The 20,049-nt window shown below is 39.8% G+C and overlaps 1 protein-coding gene across 2 annotated transcripts in view; it reads right to left on the bottom strand.

The window, feature by feature from the left end:
* The window catches only part of RTL4 (retrotransposon Gag like 4), a 374,502-nt gene that overhangs the window by 145,524 nt on the left and 208,929 nt on the right, over positions 1-20,049 (bottom strand). The window contains exon 3 of one of the 2 annotated variants that reach the window (NM_001395362.2): positions 5,471-5,630. The exons of the other annotated variant lie outside the window; for it this stretch is intronic. The gene's annotated coding sequence lies outside the window, so the exon portion shown is untranslated. The remainder of the gene's footprint in view (positions 1-5,470; positions 5,631-20,049) is intronic. 2 annotated transcript variants of the gene reach the window in all.

The following is a 20,049-nucleotide window of genomic DNA, read 5'->3' as shown; positions in this document are numbered from 1 at the left end:
GATAGCATTGGTTGTGAATAAGATACCACATGTAGAGTATCAATTATTTTTAGAGTGAAATTAACAAGAAACAGTGATTTGGGTTGGAAAGATATGAGCAGCTACTCTGAAGTGAGTGAGAGACTTTTCTGAACAGGGGGAATAGAGGAGAAGGTTTTTGTGAAAGTAAAGAAAGGGGATAAAAGGATTAAAAGGAAGTGAATGTGAGCACTGTAGAAAAATTAAGAGAGGAGGATGAGTTAGGAGGCAGGCCAGAGCACCTACAGAAATGGTTTCAAAGCAAAGCTCCAGAAATCCTAAATACACTAATGAATAGAAAATACCACTTAAACTGCACTTACTTTTGGCTTTCAAGGTGTAAAGGAAGAAATGTGCTCTCATTGGGTGTTACTTTTCTAATACAGCAGGCAGGGGAGGAGGGAGGGAAAAAGTCTCAGTGATCTTGGCCTAAGGGACTTACAGGGGCAGCTGCTCCCACATACACTTCGTAGAAAATTTAAACGAGGTTACTGCATCAGAATTCTTGTCCAGTGCTCTCATCCTTACCCCTAGAAATGAAACCTGTTAGGATCCAGTGATTAATCTGTTTCTCTAGAACCCGTCTGAGGGCACTTTTAGAAGTACAGCCAACATCCTATAAAATGCAGAGGGAATCAGATGGGGAAAGAGGTCCCAGAAAGGGCAATCTTTTCCCCAACAAACTGTGAAATTGGAAAAGAGAATTATCAAGGGCCCCAGCTTCTCAATTCTTCCCACTCAGTACTCTTCTCTTCTCAGCCTTATCACACACAATGCCTACTCACAATCCCCAAAATTTCCTTTCAGATCTTTCATTCACATCCAGGTATAAACTACTCCTAACAACTTCAAAGAGCTTAAGGCTTCTGGAAGACACAACTCCAAGGAGCACCTTTCATATTGTAGCTACTTACACAGGCCTAGTAGTGCTTCTTAAACTTCATCTCAAGTTCCCCCTTTGCAGAAGAGAATGAAAAAATACCTCCCAGGAGGTCAGAGACAGCTGCAAGACTGGAATTTAATTGCAAGACTGGAATTTCTTTGCTGTCTCCTGTTTTATATATACATATATATAAAAATAATACATACATATATTTTATATATATGTAAATATATATAATGTATTTTATATATAATATATAATGTATTAATATATATAATATATAATATAGAATTATATATAATATTAATATATATTATATATAATATTGAAATATATTATTTTATATAATATATAAATATATAATATATAATATTGAAATATATTATTTTATATAATATATAAATATATAATATATAATACATAAATATACTAATATATATAAATATATATAATATATAAACATAATATATATAAATATATATAAATATATATAATATATAATATAGAAATATTATATATAAATATATATAATATATAATATATAAATATAATATATGTGAATATATATAACATATTTATGTATTATATATATTTCTATATAACATATATTTCTATATTATATATATTTCTATATAATATATATTTCTATATTATATATACGTATATTATATTAAATATATATATATATATATATATATATATATATATATATATATATATGTATAAAGGTGCTGGCCAATTTGGTTCTCCAGTAAGGTCTCTCTTCTTAGCTTGCAAACAGCTGACCTCTTGCTGTCTCAAGTGGCAGAGATAGACAAGTAAGCTGTCTGGTGTCTCTTCTAAGGGCACTAATCCTATCATGAGAGCTCTACTTTCATGACCTCATCTAAACCTAACTGCCACCCCAAAGCCCCATCTTCAAATGCCATCATATTGGAGGTTAGGGCTTCAACATATGAATTTGGAAGGGGGTACAATTCAGTCCATAGCAGTATCTAATAGAATGGACTATGAAATTCATGTATCTGTTTTTTTAAGACAGGATCTCACTTCGTTTACCAGGCTGGAGTGCAGTGGCACGATCTCGGGTCTGTGCAACCTCCTCCTCCCAAGCTCAAGCAATCCTCCCACCTCAGCCTCCCAAGTAGCTGAAACCACAGGTGTACACATATATATATACACACACACATATATGTGTGTGTGTGTGTATATATATGTATGTATATATGTGTGTGTATATATGTGTATACATATATGTATATATATGTATATATGTGTGTGTATATGTGTGTGTGTGTATATATATGTGTATGTGTATACATATAGCCGGCCATGGAGGCTAGCACTTTGGGAGGCCGAAGCAGGTGAATCGCTTGAGGTCAGGAGTTCAAGACATTCCTGGGCAACATGGTGAAACACTGTCTCTACAAAAAATGAGTTGGGCGTGGTGGCATGCGCCTGTGGTTTCAGCTACTTGGGAGGCTGAGGTAGGAGGATTGCTTGAGCTTGGGAGGAGGAGGTTGCACAGACCCGAGATCGTGCCACTGCACTCCAGCCTGGTAAACGAAGTGAGATCCTGTCTTAAAAAAAAAGACACATGAATTTCATAGTCCATTCTATTAGATACTGCTATGGACTGAATTGTACCCCCTTCCAAATTCATATGTTGAAGCCCTAACCTCCAATATGATGGCATTTGAAGATGGAGCTTTGGGGTGGTAGTTAGGTTTAGATGAGGTCATGAAAGTAGAGCTCTCATGATAGGATTAGTGCCCTTAGAAGAGACACCAGACAGCTTACTTGTCTATCTCTGCCACTTGAGACAGCAAGAGGTCAGCTGTTTGCAAGCTAAGAAGAAAGACCTTACTGGAGAACCAAATTGGCCAGCACCTTAACCTTGGACTTGCCATCCTCCAGAAGTGTGAGAAATAAATTCCTGTTGTTTAAACTACCCAGTCTATGGTATTTTGTTATGGCAGCTGAGCTTACTAATATCAGTGCTTGCTTCAATATATAAACAATGGTTTAAATACTCTAGAAGTCAATAACTTCCCTTTCCTCAAATCTTGGAGTAAAAATTGACACTCCAGGAAGATACACCTTATTTTACCTATTACACAATCCAGGAAGATTTGCATCTCAAGAGGAAGCAAAGCTCTAATCTGAAGGGCACTGGGTAACAGAAGGAAGCATTTTTTTTTGTTTTATTGGAATCATCCTAAACCCCTAACCCCTCTGTGTTTCCACACTATGTGCAGTGGCTTATTACATCTGGGGTTTCAACCATACTGGCTCTAAGGAGTCTCTGATAAGGACATGATAGGCTGGCACATTGAATGAAAACCAAGAACAAGCAATCAATGTACAACAGTTGCCCAAATCCATTCACCCACCTAAAAAGTTTCTACTATGTGGCAAACAGCAGGCCATGTACCAAAAGTACAGAGAGAGTTTCACCATAATCCTAAATGGAGAAATCTGACCAGAAAGATATGTCTGGTATCCAGAAAAAAAGGAAAGGTGCCCTTTTGTCCCTAAGCCCAACCTGTCCTCCATTTCCCTGACTACCATCCTTTTATCCAATCAGAGAGCTACAATTGCTACTTATAGAATATTGTAAAGCTAAATACTAACACAAAGATAGGGCCCTCTCCAACAATAGCTCATTCCTCACAGCACTGACTTCTAAATATTGTTAGCCATGTGTTTTCCTTTGATATCCTTATTCATTAGGGTAGTGGGAAGATCCAGCCCAGAAATGAAAGGATGATTTTTTAAAGTTACCAGACTCAACCTGGCTTTGTCTCAGGGTGGGAGGTGATTTACTTTGCCTATTTGAATGACACTCTAAGTATCAAGTTTATCTTCCTCCAGCTAGGTAGTAGATTCGAGACCTCTTAGAGGCTTTTCTAACCCCGCTCACCCCATTCTAGTTGCAGTGCTTTAGCTAAAACCCCCAGAAAGTGGCATGATTTTAAGTCAAAATTTAGAGGTCCCCACATAACTCAAGCACTCTTAACACCAACTTTTGCTTATATCAAATAGTACTAGAGAGTATCTCCCAATTGGAGAAAAGATAGTGTAATCCCTTGCAAGTCACTTAAGCCATTTGAACCTCCGTTTCCTCATCTATCAAATGGGGCTAATACAACTACTACTTTGCCTCATAAGGACAGTGTGACAGAAAATGAGTCTCTCTTGTAAGTGAGTGATGATGAGGAAGTAGAAAAAACAGCAAAGGAATTGTGAGGGTAGATATCAGGCCGTTCTTGTTGAGAGAAGGAAAAATAAAAGAACAACAGAATAAATATCATTACAAGATTAAGAAAGCTTAGTGGTACTCAAAGTTTGAATTAGCCAATCTATAGCACAGTGAGGATCATGAGTGAAAGTTAAATGTGGAAACAACAAGAAAAAATGTGCTGAATTTGGGTGAGATGAATGGAAGGAAGGAATGGAGGGAAGATGAGAGAGATTTAAAAATATCCTGGGGATCTTATAAGGTGTGTCCTGTAAGGCCTGTACAGTAGTTCCAAAGACATTGAGAAGGGATCACTTGCAGTGGGAAGACCTGCTAATGAAAAGAAATTGCTATGAAGTTACTTGTTCAGTTAGGAAAGAAATCTAACCAGGCAGACTGGGAATCCTGCTTATTGACACAATATCAATGACATAATATGGACTAGTGGACATGCACATAAGCATGGACTTTGAAGTTAGAAAGACCTGGTTGTGAGTCTTTCTTAACCACTCACTGGTTAGGTGACTTGGACAAGTTAACCTTTCTGAATTTCAACATCCTCCACTGTCAAGTAGGCACAATAAGAGTTCTACACAGCATTGCTGTGAGTATTAAATGAGATATTGCATGTAACTGCTTAGAACACAGCCCAACCCATAGAAAATGATTAATACATGTTAGCTATTATCAGCTCTTTGCTATTATTATCTCAGTTAATGGCAGACACAGAGTCAAGAGCTATTAACAGGAAGAATGGGGACAGAAAGATCTGAAGCAATGAAAACTGTGGAGAATAGTAGGCCCATGGAAGGAATGCCAACATGAAAAAAACTGGGATCCCAGAGGCGGCATACACACACAAGGTTTCTAACAGATGCTGAGCAGAGGGAGGCAGAGATCCTGAGAGGAGGTCAGGAAGTGCTAAGGACAAGCTCCTCATCTTTCAGGATTTAGCTCCTGGACAGTCATGTGAACAGACAGCACTGGAACCAGCTTCCTGCTGTGGCCACTGCAGAAACATTTTCCCCTTGAGCGTAGAGTTTCCTACGGAGGAGGTAAAGAGTACTGAATACTGTGGGAAGACTTTGGGTAGCTGGGAATCTGCATGCACTGCTTCTACATGAAGCCAGCATAGGACAGATAGCACTTGACAAGCTCAGTGCTCACCCAGCCAAAGCAAGGAGCTCTGCTTCCCTCCTTCCATCTTTCCCCTCTTCATAACTGATTACTTCTCACGCTATCTGTTTGAACCAATTAAAAGAAAAGCATGCTAGTTAAGAGCTCTGGAGTCAGGCTGGCTAGGTTTGAAAGCTGGTTTCTCCAGTTACCTGTGTGACCTCGGGCAGGTCATGGAATCTCTCCAAGGCTTCGTTTTCTCACTTGTAAAATGAGGATAATAGAATTGACCTTTCTTACAGGATTTCATGACGCTTAAGTGAGATTACACATGGTAAATTCTTCTCCTGGAGCCCTGCATGCATGTACATTCTAGAAAAGAGATAGTTCCAGTTACTCAATTGTCACACATTGTTCTCTTTATGAGCACACTGCACACCGTAGCTTACTCCCAGAATGCAAATGTCATCTGAACAAATTGTGCTTCAACATCAAATATTCATTAAGCAGGGCAATGCTGGGGCTGTTCTGGGTGGGGCGAGATATAGAAATGGACATATGAGCACCAGCCCACAATCAGTTTCCACTTGCAAATTTGTCAGTCTTTCCTCTCTCAAGTGACACTTGGTATAAGACTTTTGAAAACCAGCAATAAGTTTTGAAGGGAATAATCTCTGCATATCCCATCTCATTTCACCCTCAAGCCACCACCAAGGAGCAGCAATCCCACTAGACAGATCACAGAATTTCAGATCAGGAAGGGACGGGCTACTCCAGGTGATACAGTAAAATCTCCTCTGAGGTCCAGAGAGGCCAAACGGTTTGATTGAAGCAAGGCAGCAAGTCTGTGCCTGAGCTGGCCACCAAAACCAAACCACCTAATTCTAGTGCAGCTTCGCAAAGAAGGCAGCACATGACAAAATCTGAAAATTACACAATGTCCCTCTGAGAGTACAGCACTGACTGTACAATGGCATATATTATACAACGAATCACAATAGTGTTTCTTCTCTTCCTGCTGAGCTGTGTTGGCAAGTTCTTAGTACTTATTTAAAAAGGTATGGTTGTTGGCCGGGTGTTGTGGCTCACGCCTGTAATCCCAGAACTTTGAGAGGCCGAGACGGGCAGATCACCTGAGGTCAGGAGTTCGACACCATCCTGCCCAACATGGTGAAACCCCATCTCTACTAAAAATACAAAAAATTAGCTGGGCGTGGTGGCAGGTGCCTGTAGTCCCAGCTACTTGGGAGGCTGAGGCAGGAGAATGGTGTGAACCCGGGAGGTGGAGCTTGCAGTGAGCCGAGATGGCACCACTGCACTCCAGCCTGGGTGACAGAACGAGACTCTGTCTCAAAAAATAAATAAATAAATAAAAATAAAATAAAATAAAATAAAATAAAATACAAAAATTAGCCAGGTATGGTGGTGCACGCCTATAGTCCCAGCTACTCAGGAGGCTGAGGCAGGAGAATCACTTGAACCCGGAAGCGAAGGTTGCAGTGAGCCGAGATCGAGCCACTGCGACAGAGCAAGACTCTGTCAAAAAAAAAAAAGACAAAAAAAACACAAAGATATAACTGTAATTCACTGAGTACTCCCCATCCCCTCCATGAGCATGCCATGAGTTCAGTCATTTGCTTGCATGTAGATTCTTATGTTATGGAGAATCTGCAGATCTACCCAGCCGAGATCCATAAGCTACTGACAGCTTCTCAGGGGCAGAAGCAGGGAGTATTTTTTTCACGTTTTTGACAGCCTTTGCTATTGTTCTCAATGCTAAAAAAGTTATTGAAATGCTTTTGGTGATGGTCGGGTCTCTTAGTAACATGCCAATGAATGTGGAAAGGAAAAGAGGAAAGATAAGGAAAGAGAGATGCAGGAGTGGGATGGGAGGAAAGAAGCATGAGGAAAGGGGGCAGGAGGGAGTAGGAGGATAATGAGTGGGTCAGGAGGTTTATTAAATTCTGTCATACCTCATTCTAGAACAATTTAGAACAGTGTTTCTTAAAACATGTGCTGTGGATTAGTGTTCCATAGGCTGCCACACAGAAAAGATAGCTGTGAGCCAAAAAAAAAAAAAAAAAAAAAAAAAAGATGTGGGAAAATTCTAGTAAGCAGAGAGTAATCAGGTTGCTTTCCTGCAGTACTACTTGGAGCCTTTTATATGTTGATGACATCCCCCAGGAAATACTGTAAACACGGTTCCCGGAAATTTCTTTGACCAGGGGGCTTGCCCTTGGTCCTTTCATCAGGAACAGGTCCTTTAAAAAATTTTAAATCGGTAATAAAACTGCAATTCATTCCACATCTGCCCATTCAGGTGCTTATCAACACTGTCAAAATAACCAAGTGCCTTTGCAATACCCTAGGGGACAAGATAGTCTCACACACACACAAACACAAATGCACACACACAAACACACACGCACACACACATCACCAGGCAATGGCTGGTGCCTTTGGAGTAGTGCATCTTTGGCTACTCTTCCATATGAAGTATTCTTTCCCATTGCCAACACCCTTGGATTTGATGATCTCTGACTTCCTGGAGTGGCCTGAGAGCCACAAAAAGACATGACTGGGGTTGTGCTCTTTATCCTTAGGCAGCCTTCCTTGGGTATCAGCCACAGAAAGGTCCAGGTCCTTCACTTCAAGAATTAGGCCCCATACCCAACCATATGGCCACGCTCAAAAAAGAGAAAAAGGGCCACATTAGCTACTGTAAAGACTATACACGCAACACTTCGAGACAGTAGTTTGTGGAAGTCAGTAGGTAGCAATTATTAATTTGCAAGTACTAGATGGTGGGTGGTAGTAATGCTGTGTTAGTAGTTATAATACAAGCATCCCTGTATATTCAAATATAAAAAGTAATAGAGAATATGTTGCATAATTAACATGAGCAGAAGCCTATATCCCATTATTTTAAAATTCTTTTTTTTTTAAATTCTTTTTTTTTAATTTTTTTTATTATTATTATACTTTAAGTTTTAGGGTACATGTGCACAATGTGCAGGTTAGTTACATATGTATACATGTGCCATGCTGGTGTGCTGCACCCACTAACTCATCATTTAGCATTAGGTATATCTCCTAATGCTATCCCTCCCCCCTCCCCCCACCCCACAACAGGCCCCAGAGTGTGATGTTCCCCTTCCTGTGTCCATGTGTTCTCATTGTTCAATTCCCATCTATGAGTGAGAACATGCGGTGTTTGGTTTTTTGTCCTTGCAATAGTTTACTGAGAATGATGATTTCCAATTTCATCCACGTCCCTACAAAGGACATGAACCCATTATTTTAAATGGAGAAATGACAATACATTCCTAAGCCATCCAAAAACTCCAAACAATTTTCCTAATCATTATTAAAACATTTAAACAGCTACCAATCAATCCATGAAGGACTTATGGATAATATAATTCATTTAAAATGCCAATACCTAATTAACACGTAATGAACTCATTAAAGGGTATTTTTTGTGTTTGGTATACAATCATTTACAATTTCAGGAGCAAACTGTTTCTCTTCTAAACTGCAATGAACATACATTGTAATATAAACAATGAAATAATGTGTTAGAGATTCTCAACATGTGGTCTACGTGGACCACGGTTGATAGTGTCCCTAGGCACTTGAAAGAAGCAAACACTGGGCTAATGAAGGACTAAACCCTTAAGAAAATGGTGTGGAAGATGAGAATGATCATGCACAAGGCATCGGGAGCCAAGATGCTGTTTTATCCAGAGAGGGGTACATTCTACGTCCTCTGGATAGGATTCCTGTGCAACTCAAATGTTTTCACCTGAGGATTTCTGATTAGAATAGTGAAGTTTGGGAAAACATTTTTGTAATTTTTTAAAAATAATGAACGTCTAGATAGTGACAGTTCAAATAGCAGTAGTAGCAGTAGTAATGGTAGTTCTCATTTATTAAAAACTACTTAAGAGTGGGGCCCCTCTTTATCTCATTCACCAATTTATCCCAGTGCTTAAGCACAAAGCCTAGCACATTGTAAATGCTCGAAAAATATTTGTTCAATGAATGAACTGAATACTAACTGAGTACCACATACTGAGCAATTTACCTGTGTTATCTCATTTAATTCTAACATTAACAGCCCTACAGGGTGAGGGATGAGAAATTACTTAATGAGTACAATTTACACTATTTACACAATTTACACTATTAATGAGTACAATTTACATTATTTGTAGCCATCACTACAATAAAAGCCCACAAATCACCACTACTTAATATATTCATGTAACAAAATAGCAATTTACCGCCTAAATCTGTAATTTAAAAAACCTATGTTGTAGATAGTTCCCCATTTTTCAGATGGAGAAACCAAGCCCCAGTACTAAAGAGGAACTTGGCTAATATCACACAACGCATGTGCCAGAGCTAGGGACTTAAACTCCTGTCCTCTTAAGTCTTAAGTCCAAAGCTAATGCTTTTTTTTTTTTTTTTTAACAGAGTCTTGCTCTGTCGCCCAGGCTGGAGTGCAGTGGCGTGATCTCCACTCACTGCAAGCTCCGCCTCCTGGGTTCACGCCATTCTCCTGCCTCATCCTCCCAAGTAGCTGGGACTACAGGTGCCCGCCACCATGCCCAGCTAATTTTTTTGTATTTTTAGTAGAGACGGGGTTTCACCATGTTAGCCAGGATGGTCTCTATCTCTTGACTTCGTGATCCACCCACCTTGGCCTCCCAAACTTCTGGGATTACAAGCGTGAGCCACGGCCCCTGACCTTTTTTTTTTTTTCTTTGACAGGGTCTTGCTCTATCACCCAGGCTAAAGCATTGGCACGATCACAGCTCAGTTGTAGCCTCGACCTCCTGGGCTCAAGCAATTCTCTTGCCTCAGCCTCCTGAGTAGCTGGGCCTACAGGTTCAGACCATCGGGCATGGGCAATTTAAAAACATTTTTTTTTAAAGACAGGGCTCATTATGTTGCCCAGGCTGGTCTCGAACTTCTGGACTCAAGTGATACTCCCACCTCGGCCTCCCAAAGTGTGTGTGTTACTGGTGTGAGTCACTGAGCCCAACCAAAGCTAATGCTTTTAGCTACCATCCTCTATACACTTCTCTTCTCTCATTTAGAAATTTGTACACCTGTTTGGGTTCTCTAATCTACAGTTTCCTGACACCTCATGTCAGAGACCTTGAAAAAAAAAACTGTCTGCTTCTGAGAATTATGAATCCCTTGCACATGACTTCATTGTTACTATTAAACCAAGTTTTTAAATGCTATGACATATGTTTTCTTTATTAGTATTAATAATAATTACAGCTACCCTATGTAGAGCATTTACTATGTGCCAATCAGGCACAGTACTATGCCATTATTTCGGTTAACCTTTAAACAACCTGATGAGGAAGGTATTGTTATAATTCCCATTTTACAAATGAGTAAACTGAGGTTTGAAAAAGTTAAGTAGCTTACCTAGGCAAATATCTTGTAATTGACAGAGATGGAATTTGAACCCACATATGTCAGATTACAGGGCACATCCTCTCAGTCACTCCGTACCACTTTGGTAACTAGCTGACAAACCAGATAATTTGACAGAACAGAAGATCTTATTGATGCCCTACCAACCACTGTCAGTGCCTGTAGGAATCCTACTCTCCTCAGCTTGGCCTCTGCAAATCCTATTGCCCCTCCGTATTGAACCCAATTCCCACTTCTCCCGAGACGCAACCCCTAACTCTCATTGATATACTCCACAGGGATTGTTCCCTTGGCTCAGTCCCCCTCAGCACTGTCTGTGTGAGTCTCAAAGGTTGTTGATTCCTACTGCCTTGCCCTGATCTCTGGCTTCTTTAGTGTAATTGTCTTCCCTGCTCTTTCTCACTAGATTGACAGCTCACACAATATATGGTCTAGGCTAACTAGTTCTGACTGCCTAGTTCTCCACCAGCTGGCATAGTGCCATAAACACAGTAGGAGCAGGGGAATGTGGCTGCAGTGCCATACGATGGATGCGAATCTGTTTTTTAAAAAATTAATCTTGTCGTATTGCTTCTCTAACTACTAAGGCCATGTACATTTATTGTTGAGAATTTAGAAAATACTCAAGCAAAATGGTGAAAAAATTTAAAACCCTACCTTCCAACCATGTAGAGAACCTTTGTTAACAGACTAACAGTTTAGTGAACATCCTTTCACATCTATACATGCATGCTCAGTTTCTATCCATTAGGGCCCACACTATTCAAATGAATTTGTAACTTACTTTTTCCTGTAAAAAGACACAGTTAACACTTTGCTATAGCCTTGAATGTGCTTTTACAATATCATCTTTAAAAGAAATCATATTACAGATTATAATACAGTTGATTTAATGAATTGTTGAATATTGAACACTGAGATGGTTTCAAATCCTTTGCTATTCAGACAATTGGAAACAACCTAAATGTTATCACCAGAGGACCAATTAAATAAAATATGATACAACCATTCAATGGAATATTATGCAGCTGTTATAAAGCTTAATGTAGAATGTAAGTGATGATATGGTGTGATTATCAAGATGCATTATTAATCAAAAAGAGAAAACTGTAAAATCAGATGAGTGAAAGGACCTTTATATATTAGATGGATAGATAGAGGGATGGATAGATAGATAGATAGATAGATTTTATATGTGCAAAGATATTTCTGAAAGAATATATAGATACAAAAATACAAAACTGTCACCAATTATTTTACCTGGGGAGGCATGGGACTACCAATGGACAGGGAGAGGTTTTCTGTATATTTTATACCCTTCTGAAATGATTGAATATTTTATTTTGTGTGATATATGTGTGTGTATGTGTGTGTGTACACACACACATACAGTATGATGATGAAAAACCTCATCACTAAATATTAGTTTATATTTATGATAAGTAACTTTTCAATCTGTTAGGGAGGGAAAGTCAGGAGCAAGTTATATTGGCATCAAGTTCCTGAGAAGGTTGACAAAGGAACACTGTCAGGAAGAGTATATATGTCCCATGGGAAAGCCCAGGAGGCAACCTCTGCCCCGTTACAGAGTTGCTGAAGGTTGGCTTCACAGAGGAATGCACTATTGCAGACTCCAAAGTCCAAGGGGGAGAGCAAGGCTTTTGATTCTTGCTCTGAAGTAGTGCTTTCTCAGCTGTGTTCTCTGAAGCCCTCAAAGTCCACTGAGAAGGATGCCAAAGTTCCAGGGCCCAGGTGCCATTTTACTCAAAGCAGATTTACTTTAAAAAATTGTGGTAAAATGCACATAACATAAAATTTGTCGTCTTAACTATTTTTAAGTGCTCAGTTCAGTGGTATTAAAAAAATTCACTTTTAATCTGATTCACATATTGTGGCTCCATAGTTAAAAGACACTTCATAACAAATGCTGTAAACATAGCACTTTCCAACTTTTTCAGTACATGACACAAATGGAAGATAACAATGTTTGTGTGGCACACTGAAGTAAAATAAGTTTGCTCATGGCCAGAAGCAAAGACTGCTCATGGACTATGGCTGCCCTGTTATATATCAGACCACCTAGAAGGATCAATAGCTCAGCGCATTTGCAACCCACTCAGGGCACGTCAGTACGCCACAATGTCCCAGTTGGAAAGCATCATTGAAAAGACTGAGGGAGCCAACTCTCAAATCTCAGAGTTAAAACTGAAATACCAGTGTTTAATGCCCTGTCTTGAATGACCTATGATTGGCAAGAACAGCCTGCAAAAGCGGAGAAGGACATAAAAGGTCTTGGAAACGAACTGATGCAAACACAGTTGAAGTTATCTTACACAACTTAGAAGAGAGCCCTGGGCATCAGTTGGTACATTTTACAGAGCGTTGCTTTGATAATCAGAAAAGCAATACAAGAAGTATAAGGAAAGGTCAAATAATTCTTTTGTCATTGGTAACATGCACCTGAGTGCCGGTGAAAGCTCACCTTGCTTCTGGGATCTAGAACAGAAAAGGGCCCCCAAATAACCCCACTACCCCCAAAGGGCAGTTTGCACACTGTCACTGGGGCTACAACTGTTGGATTCATTCAAATCAGGCAAAGCCTGGGGTCAGGAACACTAAACAAACCTACTGTACAGAAGAGCAATTATTAAGATCCAGAGCACACATTTTTCTATCCAATTATTGACCCAAGTTCCTGAGGAATAAGGAAAGTAAAAGAACCATGTGGAATGAAAAATCTCAAGAATAAGAACCCGAGGACCCTAAAGTAAGTTGCTCCCATGATAAGGGATTCTGAGAAGAAGAATCCTAATTTGTAACATTGTAGAGGAAGAACCAGGCTGAACCTCTAAAGCTCTTCAGGATCTAGTTTAGAGGCAGAATTTCATAGCTATGCCCAGGTAGTCTCTCTTTCTTTCGTAATAACTAATGTTTATGAGTATTTGCTATATGCTAGACAAAACACACACTTTATTCAATTTCATCTGGAGGATTAAGTGAGTTAATCTATGTAAAGCAGTGTGAACAGTGTCTATCACATAGTAGACAATAAATATAAGCTAAAACAAACAGAAAGTACTCTGAGGTGGATACAATATTATATATTGCTTAATGTTTGGGGAAACTCATGCCCAGATAGGTGAGATAATTTGCCTAAAGTCGAACCGAAAGTAAATGGCAAAGCTGGGATCCAGACGCTCTGATTCTGAATCGCTCCACTATGTTATCCCATCTACCCAACCAGCCAGCCAATCAACCAACCAATAAGCATGTTTCTAGGCACCTATTCAGTTTCATGCACTTTGTATACAGACATGATTAAGTCTTAGACCCTGTCCTCAAGAAACCCAGAGTCTAGTCAAGCAGCTCTCAGACAAGTGTCATGTATGAGAAGAGACAAAGTTATAGCTTGTACTGACCCAATAGGAGTGTTCCAGAACATCTTTTCTATGACGTACCTCTAAGCTGAGTAGGCCTATGAAAAATCTAGTATAAGTGAACATAAGTGTTGCACTTTAAGAAAGCGGTTGAGAGCCACTGTTTGTTGGGGGGACAGACCTAGAAATCAGTCACTACAATGGCCTGTGTGTCAGGCTTGTAGGCATGTAAAGGAGGGAATCATTTGATATGGTTTGGCTTTGTGCCCCCACCCAAATCTCATGCTGAATTGTGATTCTGAGTGTTGGAGGTGGGGCCTGGTGGGAGGTGATTGGATCATGAGGATGGTTTTTCGTGGTTCAGCACCATCACCATTCCCCTAGTGCCGTCTCGTAATAGAGTTCTCATAAGATCTGGTTGTTTAAAAGTGTGTAGCACCTTCCCCTTTGCTCTCTTCCTGCTGCTCCAGCTGTGTAGGACGCGCCTGCTTCCTCTTCGCCTTCTGCCATTATTGTAAGTCCCCTGAGGCCTCCCCAGTCATGTTTCCTGTACAGCTTGCAGAACCATGAGCCAGTTAAACCTCTTTTCTTTATAAATTACCCAGTTTCAGGTATTTCTTCATAGCAGTGTGAGAATACACCATTAAAACCACTTGGGACTGAAGAAAGATTGAAATTGGGGGTAGTTAAGTTGCTCCCACGATAAGGGATTCTAAGAAGAGCCTTAATTTGTAACACTGGGGAGGTAGAAACAGGTTGAACCTCTAAGGCATGGAGGACATTCCTTCTCTTCCAAAACATTATGACAGATGAGACAGAGCTCCCTGGAAGGCAGGGAAAGGCAGTCAGCACTGAATTAGGAAAAGGGAAAAAGATGGACAAAATCTGTCCTTCCACTTCACCTGAATCCTATCTTTTTGACCTAAGAATAACTTAGGGAGAGAAAAGGCCAAGAAAGAGATGGCAAAGAAAAGGGATTCTCAGCCAGGCGCGGTGGCTCATGCCTGTAATCCCAGCACTTTTGGAGGCCGAGGGGGGTGGATCACAAGGTCAGGAGATCGAGACCATCCTGGCTAACACGGTGAAACCCCGTCTCTACTAAAAATACAAAAAAAAAAAAAATTAGCTGGGCGTGGTGGCAGGCACCTGTAGTCCCAGCTACTTGGGAGGCTGAGGCAGGAGAAAGGCGTGAACTCGGGAGGCGGAGCTTGCAGTGAGCCGAGATTGTGCCACTGCACTCCAGCCTGGGCTACAGAGTGAAACTCTGTCTCAAAAAAAAAAAAAAAAGAAGAAAAGAAAAGAAAAGAAAAAGGATTCTCAAGAGGGGTAAACCCAGATGGAAGGGAAAACAAAAAACAGGGAAATTATTCTCTGAGGTCATACTGAGACCAACTGCTCAGTATGGGGTTTGGTGGAGGGATGTGTGTGGGTGTAGGAAGTCACAGTATCTCTATGAATTAGTGGGGAACAAAATACAGGGTGTAATGTAGCTAAAAGGAACTTATTTGATTCTGCCATAACTCCTGGAACACGTTCAGGAATTCTAGAATAGAACCACAGTTAGAGCCAAGTCTTTGAAAACCCACATTAATTAGTCAGGTAAAGGAGAAATGGGCCAACAGTAAGAACTAAGGTATTAAGGCAACTCAGAGAATAACAGGGTTGGTGAACTTCAGGTCCTTTGACTCTGCTGGAGTTTTGGGATGCATAAGAGAAATGATGAGAGATGAGGTTGGATAGAGAGGAAGGAAGGATCAGTGGCAGTGACAAATGGTCTTATGTCCTCTGAGGCAGGCCCTGGCAGTGGTCCCCTCAGAGCCTCAGCTTCTCTGGAGGAAAAGCATTTTTCATCCTATCCCCTCTCTGCAGTGTGGTAGAGGACAAACGAGGAAATAGGCAGAGAGTTCATTTTAGTATAAATGAATATATTTCAGCAATATTTTTCAGCAATGTATTTCAACAATATAAAATACAGCTGATTATTGTCACTTACCTGACTTTGGAACTGAGACATTTGGGTACAATCTTTAGGCATTTCAATATAAAAACACTCTGTGCAAACTGCACAGTAATTTCGACAGAGAAAAAAAGAGAAATGCAAACTTAATGAGCTGTACTCAGAGTGCTTGATGAAATTGGAGTTATAGATGATGAAGGCAGGAATGGAAATAGACCCATTAAGCTCGCTTTTTCTGGGATCCCTCCCATCAGCTACAGTTGAAAATGATTGGTCATAATGCCCCGGAAGGCTCATAGCACTGAATTTATCTCTGAGGCTTGGAGTTGCAGAAGGACATAAGTAGAAGCGGGATGGCCCTTGTGTGGGCTACCAGCAGATCTCATGTGTGGGCTGTCCCCATGGCTCCTGATTTGTGCTGGCAGGCAGGCACCTGCAGTGAGGGTAAGTGATGCACTTGGAATGACCCTTTGAGGAAAAGTGCTCACTGAAACCACTTGAAGGCAACAAATGAAGAGAAGAGAAGCAGATTTCTATACTTCAAGTGGGAGTGGTAAAAGGAACCTCTTGAGCAGGACCAAAAAGCATACTGCCCTAGAAGCCAGGGAGATAAGGAGATGTTAGTAGGATGGAGAAGACAACAGCATCAAATGAGGAGCAGAAGGTCTCAGTGGTGGAAGACTATGAGAAGGGAGATAAAAAAAATACCAGCTCTTACCCGAAGACATTTAATTCAAGGTCTCTGAGTGGCCAAAATCATTTTGGATACACTTAGAAGCAATAAAGTTATCCACAAGGAACAAGTAGCTGCTGTGTTGCCTCCAAAAAGCCTTCTATAGAGAAACTCATGGACATGCTATGATTCAAATGTCCTAATCTTTGGGAGGCATTGTTTGATGACAAAAAGAAATTGTGTTTTAAAGTTGAATTACAAGAAAATGCATTTGTAGCAATATTTGATTATTGTAGTCAAACCAGAGTCTGCTCAGTCAGAGACTGGTCTTCACTATTGTTGGCTGGTACACTATGGTGAGTCTCTTAGAATGTACACATGAGGTCATCTATTATTAAAAAGAGGTCATCTATCATTCAATGGTCAGATCAGGTATTGAGCTTGCTAAGTGCTAATGAAATGAACTTCTTAGGAAGTTGGCCATCTAAAAAACACCAAGAAAATTTCAAAGAACATGTTATAAATTCCCAGAAGATTAAGGCTGATTCAAAGTATTGGGGTTAAAAGTAGATGCGAGATGCCAAACTACATAGCAGATATGAAAAGTAGTTTTGAGGGATTAATGGTTGACGGTTTTTGTTTTGTTTTGTTTTGGTTTGGTTTGTTTTTTGAGATGGAGTCTTGCTCTGTCTCTCAGGCTGGAGTGCAATAGCATGATCTCGGCTCACTGCAACCCCTGCTTCCCAGGTTCTAGTGATTCTCCTGCGTCAACCTCCTGAGTAGCTGTGACTACAGGCATGTGCCACCATACCTGGCTAATTTTTTTTGTATTTTTAGTAGAGACAGGTTTCACCATGTTGGTTAGGCTGGTCTCAAACTCCTGACCTCAAATGATCTGCCTGCATCGGCCTCCCAAAGTGCTGGGATTATGGGTGTGAGCCACCGCGCCTGGCCTTGGTTGATATTTTGAGTAATCCTAGGACACACTGAAAACATTTGATCCACTATTCTCATCTGCCAAATCTCTGCCTATGTTGTGGATCCCAAGGCTGTTGAGGCTTAAGCACTCAGCAATTAGTACAAAATTCATCTAGACCAGAGTTTATAAGATCAATGTATTTCCCATAATTATCTACAAAATATGTGCACACAGGTGTTTCTTTGGGGAAGAGAATCAATGTTTTTCATCTGATTCCCAAAGTGCTCACAGACCTCTCCAAAATGGAAGACCTCTTCTAGACAGGTTTTATTTATAAAGAACAGCTTATTTAAATAAACACTGGTTTATTTACAAACTAGTGAGGTTTTCTGAGTATGAGCACTTGCTATTTCATACCTCTCAATTGACAGTAGCCAATTGAGCAGGATGCATGGAAACCTACTTTGGAACATGAAAACTCTCAAACTGCTCAAGCTGGTAGAGGTAGGGAATTTTGCCAAGTTACATTTTAGCACAGAGTCTAATATTTTGAATAACCACTGGCTTTCCTGTAGGTACTATTTCTAAGCCTAAAAATTTGGAAGATGTCTTATGAACAATGCAACCTTAGCAACAGTTTTGTGGCCAGGAAATATTATAGATTAGAAGCCATTGTACTTTTAATTAATTTGATTTCTCTTAGTGCCAGAAAGGAAATTACTTTTAACTAAGAACCATCCCAACTCCCTTTGATCTTCCCCAAGGTAGTCAATTCCACCAGACATCCTGCTGTTTAGATGACTGCATGGAAAACTGTTACCCCATTCTTATAGATTAAGACTATCGAAGTTTTCAGCAGATACTATTCAGATAATATTGGCAGATAATTATATCACTCCAGAAATCTCACTGGAAGTATATGATTCATTACAAAATCTGAATGAATAGTGAATACTGTGTTATACAAAGTTGGCAGCTAAAGGGCAAAAATAATACAAAAGAAAAATGGAGAAGACAAGGAATATGTGTCTATTAATGGAATGAGTGTTTTCAGAATTACATGTGTGTCTATAGATGGAGGTCCTTAATAGAGACCTTCTCTGACTTAGCCAGCCATGGGAAGGAAGATGAAAGTACTGCTAACAAAGGGGACAGCTTGTCACATCTATCTCTTCAGTCATTTTGCCTACATGGGGAATAATGGCCATCCCTGGCATCACCTTTGAGTTACAAAGAGAAAACAAGAATCATAAGAAGAAGATCAAAGAGCTGCCTGAGGTCCAGATTGGTTGGTCTTTTGATTCTCCATAGGCTGTCTGTGTTGCTATTAGCAATTTTTTGGATGGAAGCTTTCAGAAGCACAGTAGGAAGAGCAAAGGTGCCTGCTTTACACAGTAGATATGTTCTTGGGAAGTTAGATGTAAATTGGAGACTAAAAGTCAGTGAGTCAGAGAGTCAGTGATTTTCTAGTATGATCTTTCTCAAAAATTATATACATATAAAAATATGTATTTATGTTATTTTTATAATACATATTTTTCCTATTGAACAGTATATACACACATACACTGGATTGAGCTATTGTATTCTACACATTGAGGGGATAAATCTTTAGGTTAGTTCACAGTTCAAAAAGAAAAAAAGTACTGAGTTTTAGTTAGGTCTTGATGCAAATTAGCATTTTCCAATATTTCAGTACATGGAATTTTTTATTTAATTGGTTTTACAAATCAGATCCTATATTAAATGCCTATTTAAAGGAAATCTTTAGGTAAGGAATCATCTTTTGATCATTGTAATGTTAAACACCCAAGTATTGTGGAACAATATATTCAGAATTTTGCTTATCAGGTGTTCTGGGAAATGGAGGCACATGGATATTCAATGTGAGGAAGAGGCTTCAGAGGTCCTTGCTTTGCTAGTCATTATCCAGCAGCACTCTCAGTTCTCTTAATTTGATGAGAAGCGTCTATGGGGAGATACTGGACCACAGGTAGTTTTTCATTTATAAGGAGAAAGGAACAAAACAAAAGCAAAGCACAACTAAAGGTCTTCTGTCCTAGATCTTTTTCCTTAAGTGAGAAAATAATTCTGGTCTGAGTTTCCGTCTGGTTTTCAGCTCTGAAGGAGGTGGGAGCATCAGAAGTGACAAACACATTTGGTATTTTCAGAGACCTGAATAGAGGTATAAAGCATGGAAAATACAGACAATGCACATTCACTCTAGAGGTTATTGACAAGATTAATTACCTCATAACTGCTTTAATAAAATGACTCCAAGCATATTACAACTATAATTATCCATAAAAATCCTAATGAATTCAATTTCTCCAGAAATCACCCTGCTGCAACTAGTGAGTGTAGGAGAAGTAGCAGGAGGAGGCAATCCTGCTCTTAGGAGAGAAGGG

The sequence above is a fragment of the Homo sapiens genome, chromosome X (genome assembly GCF_000001405.40).
Source record: "Homo sapiens chromosome X, GRCh38.p14 Primary Assembly".
Taxonomy (NCBI): Eukaryota; Metazoa; Chordata; class Mammalia; order Primates; family Hominidae; genus Homo; species Homo sapiens.
The sequence above is the reverse complement of the archived record's forward strand: the minus strand, read 5'-3'. Positions and strand labels throughout refer to the sequence as shown.